Source organism: Homo sapiens, chromosome 14 (genome assembly GCF_000001405.40).
Source record: "Homo sapiens chromosome 14, GRCh38.p14 Primary Assembly".
NCBI classification, from domain to species: domain Eukaryota; kingdom Metazoa; phylum Chordata; class Mammalia; order Primates; family Hominidae; genus Homo; species Homo sapiens.
Window position 1 is genome coordinate 24,138,963 of NC_000014.9, and position 7,850 is coordinate 24,146,812.

The following is a 7,850-nucleotide window of genomic DNA, read 5'->3' on the forward strand; positions in this document are numbered from 1 at the left end:
CATCAGCCCAAGTCTCTTTATTGGAACCGGGCCCCGCTGGCCCTGGCTCAGGCATTTCCATTTCCATTAGTGGGACCAACCCACTGGGTGATTTGAGTGTTGAGCCGCTGGTTGGTCCAGTCCTGCCGGATGTCATCAAGGTGGCAGTCAAAGTCCACAAGGTGCTGGTGGGCCCGATCTTCCAGTAGAGCTCCCACCATCTGCCGTGACTCTTCCCAGTCCCTCCACATCACTCTGAAATAGTAACCCCCATGGAGGTCAAACAGCAAGTAGTGGGTCCAGACACAGACTTAACAGAGATTGGGTCTAGAGAAAGACCCTTGGGGCAGGGCCAAGGACAGAGGAGACCCAGGAGCCTTGGGCTTCTAAGAAGAGGTAGAGGGAGTGGGGTACTCACAAGTTCTTATCCTTAGGGACCCAGCGGAGACCTTGGTTCTCCAGGACGATGACCGGGGGCACACGAGGCTGAGGCACCAGTTTCTGATTATCCAACTGAGTGGACAAAGATGGGCAAGTGAGAGTTTCAAGGGTCCCCCCACCCTACTTGCTTTTCACCTCCCCACCCAGAAACCCAAGCCTCACCATAATAAGTACTGCATCAGGGAAGAATTCTGCAATTCGCCCAGCAATTTTCAAGGCCAGGGGCCCAGGGCTGTGTAGAGGGAAGATCAGAGGAGTGAGGAGCCAACTGTGGGCAAAACCCATCCATTTGAGCTGGGCCTCCCAGGTCTCATAGGTGTGGGCGCAGCTGTGGCCTTTCCCTGTAGGTGGCCTGCGGGGATCGGGCCTGCTGGATGCTTGATGCACGACTGCTTGATGCTTGAGTGCTGTGGGAGACAGGTGCTCAGATATTGCTGGTGAGAGTGGAAACCAAAGGTGGTCTTTTTGGAAGGTAATTTGGCATAACCATCCAAATTGAAACTGTATACATACTATACATATGCTGACCCAGAAATTCTACTTATAAAGAATTTATGGTAATCATAGGACAGTGTCTGTAATAAAACACTGGAAACAACCTCAATGTTTAAAGTATTAAATAAATTAGAGTACATTCATATTCAGACTATATAGCTGTTACGGTAGATCTTGGTGTGGAAATGGGATGATGTCAAGTATTTATTAAGTGAGGGAGAAACGCAAATTACAAAACAGTACCTCTAATTGCTCCATGTATATGATTAATATATATATATATATATATATGTCTTTTCCTATATGTATATATATAAGGAAACTGCCTTATTTTTGAAGTTGCTGGTTGGGATTTCTCTGTTCTTTCAGCCCCTGGGGGACACCTCAGTTAAAGCAAGATCAGTCTGTTGGCCGAGAGTGGTGGCTCACGCCTGTAATCCCAGCACTTTGGGAGTCCGAGGCGCGTGGATCACCTGAGGTCAAGTTCTAGACCAGCCTGGCCAACATGGCGAAACCCCATCTCTACTAAAAATAAAAAATAATAATAAATTAAAAAAATAAAAAAAATTAGCCGGGCATGGTGGCGCTCATCTGTGATCCCAGCTACTCGGGAGGCTGAGGCAGGAGAATCGCTTGAATCTAGGAGGTGGAAGTTCCAGTGAGCCGAGATTGCGCCACTGCACTCCAGCCTGGGAGACAGAGGGAGACTCCGTCTCAAAAAAAAAAAAAAAATCAGTCTGTTGATACACAGTTGTCCTCCCCGCCCCAACGGCACTCCAGGGCAGGGCTCTGTCCTATTCATCTTTATATTCCCTCACTCCAGTACCCAGCATAGTGCCTGGTGTAAAGCCCCTGCTCCTAAGCGTTTGATGAAGGAAAGATAAAAGGAACGACCTTGGTTCATCTTGTGCGCCCCCGCCCCGCCCACCGCCCCACGCATCCTCGCCCTCTATTCCTCCAATCCCCAACCCGCCATAATCCTTTCCTTCTTCCTCTGGCTACGCCACTCACCTCTGATCGTTCACAGCTGCATTGGCATGGTAGTAACCAGCCACCACCAGACCGGCCTGTGCTCCCCACACATCCACCTGTCGTAGGAAAGGGGCCATCAGTAATTAAATTGTGCCGCTGGCTTTGTGGATGCGCACTGCTGCCAAGGGACCGGGGATGAACTTGGGCTGGGGTGTTGGGTGGGTTCGCGGTGGGGGATGGGCATCCAACGGAGGCACCTGGTTGAGGGCGACCTCCAACATGACGGACAGGGCCAGGTGGCTGTGGAAGAGGGGCACACAGTCGGTGAGGCACAGGCATTCTCCAGACCGCGGCGCTGGCGCCAAAAACAGCCCGTTGACTGCGGCGTGTGGGTACCGGGCAGCATGCAGGCACATCTTCACGTAGGCCAGGGCCGAGATCTCCACCTCCCCCATGGCGAGCGAGGCCTGGACGGGAAGCAGCAAGCCGGATTAGTACCGGATTAGGCGAGCCGGTGCCTAGCTCGCGTCCGTGAAGCTCCCTCCAGCGCTTCGGCACGCTCTTTGACCCTTCCCCGTGCCCTCTCACTTCGGTTCGGCGACAACGCTAACTCGACTCGCAGGTAGCCCGCCGGCTCCCGGCGCCCTGGGTCCCGGAGTCCGCCCCCGGCCCAGTCCAGGAGGAGGTCCCGATTGCATCCGAGCCCCGCCTTCCCGCGCCCCTAGCTGGCGGCCGCGACTCTGCGCCTGCCTGGGAGACAGACCAAACTGCAGCTCCCTGCAGAACTGGCTCCTGGAGTCCCGCCCACGTGGTGCTCCTTGATAGGGCTAAAGGCTTTCAATTTGTCCAATCAGCGGCCGCGCCCCAACGTTGCCCCGCCTTTGTCTCCAGCGGACTGGAAAGAACCCACCATTGTGAAGCACAGAAAATTGCCCGCACTCTTATTGGCTAGGTTCCCCGACTTCCGCTCTCGGTTGGTGGTTGGCTTTGCCTGTTACCTGTGTTGCCCACTACCACTCGCTCCGCCGAGCCCCAAGGATGGATCGCTATCCCGTAGCCGGGTGTTCCGGAGCGCTGCGGGCAAAGCAGACCGCCTTGCGCCTATTATGGGTTGAGTGGCTCTGTACTCTAGATCGGCTCTGTCACTTACTAATGGGCCGTGTTGCCTTCGCGACTGCAGGTTTTCTTGCCCTTGGTTTATCTTTTGCCCGTGTTCCTTTAAGGATTTAATGAGATATGTATGGGGGCAGGCTTCCAGCCAGTCTAGTGCTTCGCAGCACATTCTTATCTCATATTTTATGACAGGATAAGGCCCTGAATTAAAGAACAATCCCATGGAGTTTACAGCAAGATCACAGCAAAGGAACCCTTGTCTCTATCACCAGCCCAGGGCTGAATCTTGAAAAGCAGAGATAAAGACAGTGATTGGCTGAAGGGGATATGGGGGAGGACAGTAAGAAAAACTTACAGATTCATCCTTCCCATAATGTCCTGCGATGTATTTCCTTCACCACAGTGCCTTGGAAGCATTATTTTTTCCCCTCCTAGCCCTTAAGGAGGGAGTCCAGGCCCGGCGCGGTGGCTCACGCCTTGTAATCCCAGCACTTTGGGAGGCCGAGGTGGGTGGATCGCCTGAGGTCAGGAGTTCGAGACCAGCCTGGCCAACATGGCGAAACCCCGTCTCTATTAAAAATACAAAAAAATTAGCCAGGTGTGGTGGCACATGCCTGTAATTCCAGCTACTCGGGAGGCTGAGGCAGGAGAATTGCTTGAACCCGGGAGACGGAGGTAGCAGTAAGCTGAGATCGTGCCATTGCACTCCAGCCTGGGCAACAGAGCAAGACTCCATCTCAAAAAAAAAAAAAAAAGGGTGGGGGGAGTCCAATCATTCATCCGTAGTTCTCCATAGTTCTCCCAGTGAAACCTTATTCTCCTTCTAGGCTTTTCCTGAACTGATGAGGATTCTTTCTTTCTTCATTCCTGATGTTGACCACAGAACTTTCCCCTTGTGTATCCAAAGCCTGATTATTCCCATAAGGGCTCTGTGCAAATGCCATCTCTTCCAATAATTCCTGAGACCTCTGGATGAAAATAATACTGTTACATTCCAAAATACAGGTTATCTGCATGGCTGCCATGGCATGTAACAATCCCCACCCTAGGCACTCAGGGTGAAGGACTTGGACTATAAACCCAATGGAGAAGATAGCCCTTCAACCTCTGTGACTTTTCTAAAGCTACTTTCCCCCCTTTTTGCCTTAGATGGAAACAGATAAGCAGGAGAAGAAAGAAGGTAAGTGAGATAAGAGGTGACTAGGGAAGGGGAGATGGCACATTGACTACTGGATGAGAAAGGGCCTGAATCCCCTCTTTCTCACAGTCAAGATTACAGTGGGCATCTAAGTCATCTTTGTCTTTGTGACACCCACCCCTTCCCACCACATTCATCTTCAGGCTGGACATAGGTGCCACTCAATAAATGCTTTTTGAATGAATGACACACGCCAGAAGGGAATCCACACAACATATAGATCATTTATTTTCCTTCTAGTCCCGGGTTCAGTACATAGATGGCTTTTCTTCACCCTTTGGGTTGACAATTTTCTCCAGGTTGCTGCTGATGATATGATAAAGCTCAGCCTGGGAGAAGGCCAGAGTGCAAGAGTCAGGTTCTTAGCCAATCCCCTGCCTGCCCCCACTCATCCACCTCCCCTAAAGCCTTACTCCACACTCACATAGAAGGCCCTCAGGTCCAGCACCATGGCCCTGAGCTCCCCATAGGCTGCCTCATCTCGCTCATGCACCAAGGCCCGGTAATCCATCTGCAATGTGGGAGGCAAAGCTGAGTCAGTCCCATGGGAGGCTGGGACATGAGTCTGGTTTCCTTTTATAGGAAATAGGTTAACTTGAGAATGAACCCCTTCTTAGCACCAAGAAATAGGATCCCAAAGGACTGAGCAGAGAAAAGGGTCAAGGTTGTTGAAGCCCAAACCAGTTTTTCTAGGTAATGCTTTTAGCTTAATATTCTCCACATTGGGAAAGTCACAAACAAGACAAGGAGGACTTCTTCCTCCACACCTCCTCGTCCCACACCCAGCTAAAAGGCTGGTGGACTATCCACTCACTACATGAGTCTCCTTGGAGGCCTTGGCCACAGCATCCCCACGTTCTGAGAAGTACCTGCCAGAAGCAAGGGAATACCACAGGAATGAGTGTTCAGGGAGATGTACTCCCTCAGACCCTTCCCAAAGTCTCCCATCATCCTGATAGGGCTGCCCAGCTCTGGGGGTCCCAAAGAAATGCTCCTACTGCCCCCAATGCTGGTCCTCCAGCTGCCCTCACTTGGAAATGGTTGTCTGGAAAGCTTCCACTTTGGTCTTGACGGCATTCACCCTCTCCAGCACCTTCTCCTGTGGTGACACGGGAGGCAAAGACAACACTTCATGTCCTCCCCATTTCATACACTATCTTCCTCCTCCTCCTGGTTCATGTCTAGCTCACCCCCTGAGGCTCTCCCCACTCTAAGTATCTTCAGTTACCCTTTTCTTACCTGGATTGCTACCCCAAAATCATTTCCATCTTCAATCTTGGGGATCAGGTGTTGGATCCATGTAATCACCTGTGTTAAGAGGTATCATGTAAGAATCATTCAACAAACATACTGAGTTCTTCCTATTACTGTCACTTCCTAAAAAAAGTTATATTTAATTGGGTACTTATTACATACCAGGTACTGTGCCATGTATTTATTTCATGTAATCATCACAGCAACCTTCAGAGATATGTATTTATTGTACCCATTTAACAGATGAAAAAACTGAGTCACAGAATGTCTAAGTGACTTACTTAAGGCTACCAGCTAGGTAACTGATAGAATCACGATTTGAACCTAAGCAGTCTCTCTCTAGGGTCCAATCTTTTAAAACAATTCACTCACTATATCATACCACCTCTACTATGAACCCAATACAGCAGTAGGTTCTGAGGTTACAGAGTGGATACTGCACAGTCTCTAATTTTGGGGGTACCGTTGTGATAAGAGAGGTCTAACAGAACGAGGAGAACAAAGGGGATCTAAGCCCAAGGCACAGAAGGAAGTTTTCTTTTTCAGGACTAGGTCTCTGTATGAAGGACTTGTATCTACGGAGGAGTCCAGGGCCTCACCTTGTGTGTCTTCTCTTTCTGCTTCCCCCATTTCCCAGGCTTACCAGAATGCATTTCTCTTTGAGAGTCCAGACTTCTGGCTTAACCAGGGCAAGCAGGGACAGGACTTTCTCATTCCCAGGGAGAAATCCACACTTATGGACTGTGAGAAAGAGGGGATTCAGGCCCTTTCTCATCCAGTAGTCAGTGTGCCATCACCCCTTCCCTAGTCACCTCTTATCTCTCTTACCTTCTTTCTTCTCCTGCTTATCTGTTTCCATCTAAGGCAAAAAGGGGGGAAAGTAGCTTTAGAAAAGTCACAGAGGTTGAAGGGCTATCTTCTCCATTGGGTTTATAGTCCAAGTCCTGCACCCTGAGTGCCTCACCTCATCATCCTTGGGTGGAGGGTCTGGGATGGGGATGTCCAGTGGGGCCCGGAGGGAAGTCAAGTCAGCCACATTGAGGGAGTCCTCCTGCACAGAGCTCACTGTCAAGGGCTGCCCAACCTCTTCCCTTCATCCTAGGTCACAGCCTTCCCTCCATACATCCCACTTGCACTCTGCCTCCCAACCTAGGCTCATGCCTCACGCCATCCTAATGTTCCTAATCCACTATTTGAAACTATTCTCTGCATGCTGAATCCAGTTGTTAGCTAGAGAGGGTGGGCAAAGGGGATAGAGGACATAGGATGGGGCAGAAGGGGCCCACACTACTCACTTGCAAGAGCTGATTCAGGTATATGATTTTCTGTGGCAAGAATCTGTAGAGGAATTCCTCAGCCTGTGGGTTACATTGCAAGGGAGGGGAATCACAGAATATGCTCAATGAGATGTCTGACAAATGGAACTGGAAGGGCCTTTGGAAATCACTGGGTCCAAGACTTGCAAATGAGGAAACTGAAGACCTGAAAATGAAAGGACTTGCCCAAGCTGGTAAATGGCAGAACGAAGGTTAGGACTGTGATATTCCTGCTTTGGAAGCCATGGTTTTTTTCCTCCACATCAAAAGACGGGAGAAGTGCCAGAAGTCGGGAGAGTCATAAGAAAGGTCAGATTAAAGGTAGCTATCAATAATTCCGGGGTTACTTTGGGTGAAGGCTTGGTAAGGGAAGTAGGGTTAAGTCTAGGGTGACTTGGGGGGGTCATTCTGAGAGGCTGTTATCCTCAAGTATTGGTCCAAGATTCTGGGTCAAATCGCTCAAATCCAGAGACTTACCTCCTGGAAAAGATTCTGTCTGAAGACCTCCACCTACACAGAGAGCAGTACCCGGATGTTGGTTAAGGGTCTGGGTTGTCAAAAGCTTCCACCCACAACAGGGTGCCCTCGAACTGTGGCTCAGGCCTTTCTCACCACAAACTAGCTTTCCCTGGAAGCTCCTGCTCACTGCAGTCAGAAGGCAGGAATCTGGGAATCCCCGAGAAGTGAAGGCACTAGCGAGATTGGGGGAGTTCTCTGGCACTGCTTGGTCCCCTGAACCACCCAGCTTGGCCTCCACCCAAGAGGGTTCTATGACCCCTTCCTGGCCTCCGATTCCCCATTACCTGTTTGCGGGCTTCCCCGCTCAGGCGCACCCCACACGGCTTGGCCATGCTGCTTCAGTCGCTAGATCTCTGGTCTCCCGGCTAGTCGCCCGGGCTTTCGCTTTCACTCCCCAGGTCCAGGCCCGCCCCCCTCAACCCCGCCCCCTTTCTTCTTTCCGCCCCCCTCCTCCCGCTGGCAGGCCGCAAGCAGTAGGTAGCCCCTCAGCCATTCCCAGCCAGTTGCCACTAGGAGAGGCGGTGCTGGCTGGGTCACAGTCCAGGGGCTGCCCGAGGGAGGGG

At 51.1% G+C, this 7,850-nt stretch overlaps 2 protein-coding genes and 1 non-coding gene across 11 annotated transcripts, besides 2 other annotated features; all 3 read right to left on the bottom strand.

Moving 5' to 3' along the window:
- Window positions 1-2: 2 nt before the first annotated feature.
- Window positions 3-2,629, bottom strand: EMC9 (ER membrane protein complex subunit 9). 8 transcript variants are annotated; one of them, NM_016049.4, is made up of 6 exons: window positions 2,476-2,629; window positions 2,145-2,354; window positions 1,927-2,003; window positions 583-652; window positions 398-492; window positions 3-234 (listed from the first exon to the last, which is right to left on the bottom strand). In NM_016049.4, the coding sequence occupies exons 2-6, from the start codon at window positions 2,340-2,342 to the stop codon at window positions 48-50; spliced, it is 627 nt and encodes a 208-aa protein (NP_057133.2). In that variant the 5' UTR covers window positions 2,343-2,354; window positions 2,476-2,629; the 3' UTR covers window positions 3-47. The 8 variants fall into 8 exon arrangements, with proteins under 8 accessions (NP_057133.2, NP_001333804.1, NP_001333803.1 ...); NM_001346875.2 differs by having other exon boundaries at window positions 583-827; NM_001346874.2 differs by having other exon boundaries at window positions 583-854.
- Window positions 2,463-2,552: a silencer, noted in NCBI's record as "silent region_5625". NCBI's record gives its function as "represses an Ori minimal core promoter by ATAC-STARR-seq in GM12878 lymphoblastoid cells {active_cell/tissue: GM12878}" and the evidence as "EXISTENCE:reporter gene assay evidence [ECO:0000049][PMID:35858748]".
- PSME2 (proteasome activator subunit 2) lies at window positions 4,403-7,648 on the bottom strand. 2 transcript variants are annotated; one of them, NM_002818.3, is made up of 11 exons: window positions 7,572-7,648; window positions 7,246-7,278; window positions 6,748-6,810; window positions 6,417-6,503; window positions 6,281-6,311; window positions 6,096-6,193; window positions 5,438-5,506; window positions 5,230-5,297; window positions 5,013-5,067; window positions 4,623-4,709; window positions 4,403-4,527 (listed from the first exon to the last, which is right to left on the bottom strand). In NM_002818.3, the coding sequence occupies exons 1-11, from the start codon at window positions 7,617-7,619 to the stop codon at window positions 4,447-4,449; spliced, it is 720 nt and encodes a 239-aa protein (NP_002809.2). In that variant the 5' UTR covers window positions 7,620-7,648; the 3' UTR covers window positions 4,403-4,446. The 2 variants fall into 2 exon arrangements, with proteins under 2 accessions (NP_002809.2, XP_006720276.1); XM_006720213.3 differs by having other exon boundaries at window positions 6,748-6,934.
- On the bottom strand, window positions 4,527-4,603 carry MIR7703 (microRNA 7703). The gene has a single exon (NR_106990.1). It is a non-coding gene; the product is annotated as a microRNA 7703 (primary transcript).
- Window positions 7,694-7,753: a silencer, noted in NCBI's record as "silent region_5626". NCBI's record gives its function as "represses an Ori minimal core promoter by ATAC-STARR-seq in GM12878 lymphoblastoid cells {active_cell/tissue: GM12878}" and the evidence as "EXISTENCE:reporter gene assay evidence [ECO:0000049][PMID:35858748]".

Excerpts from the sequence above, each read along its gene's own strand:
- EMC9 (NM_016049.4), bottom strand. The coding sequence starts at position 2,342 with ATGGGGGAGGTGGAGATCTCGGCCCTGGCCTACGTGAAGATGTGCCTG. Across the intron at positions 653-1,926 it reads GCAGCTGTGAACGATCAGAG|CCCTGGGCCCCTGGCCTTGA; the intron begins GTGAGTGGCGTA and ends CCCTCTACACAG. Across the intron at positions 235-397 it reads GTCCCTAAGGATAAGAACTT|AGTGATGTGGAGGGACTGGG; the intron begins GTGAGTACCCCA and ends TTACTATTTCAG.
- PSME2 (NM_002818.3), bottom strand. The coding sequence starts at position 7,619 with ATGGCCAAGCCGTGTGGGGTGCGCCTGAGCGGGGAAGCCCGCAAACAG. Across the intron at positions 6,811-7,245 it reads GACAGAATCTTTTCCAGGAG|GCTGAGGAATTCCTCTACAG; the intron begins GTAAGTCTCTGG and ends TGTAACCCACAG. Across the intron at positions 6,312-6,416 it reads CTCCACCCAAGGATGATGAG|ATGGAAACAGATAAGCAGGA; the intron begins GTGAGGCACTCA and ends TTTTTGCCTTAG.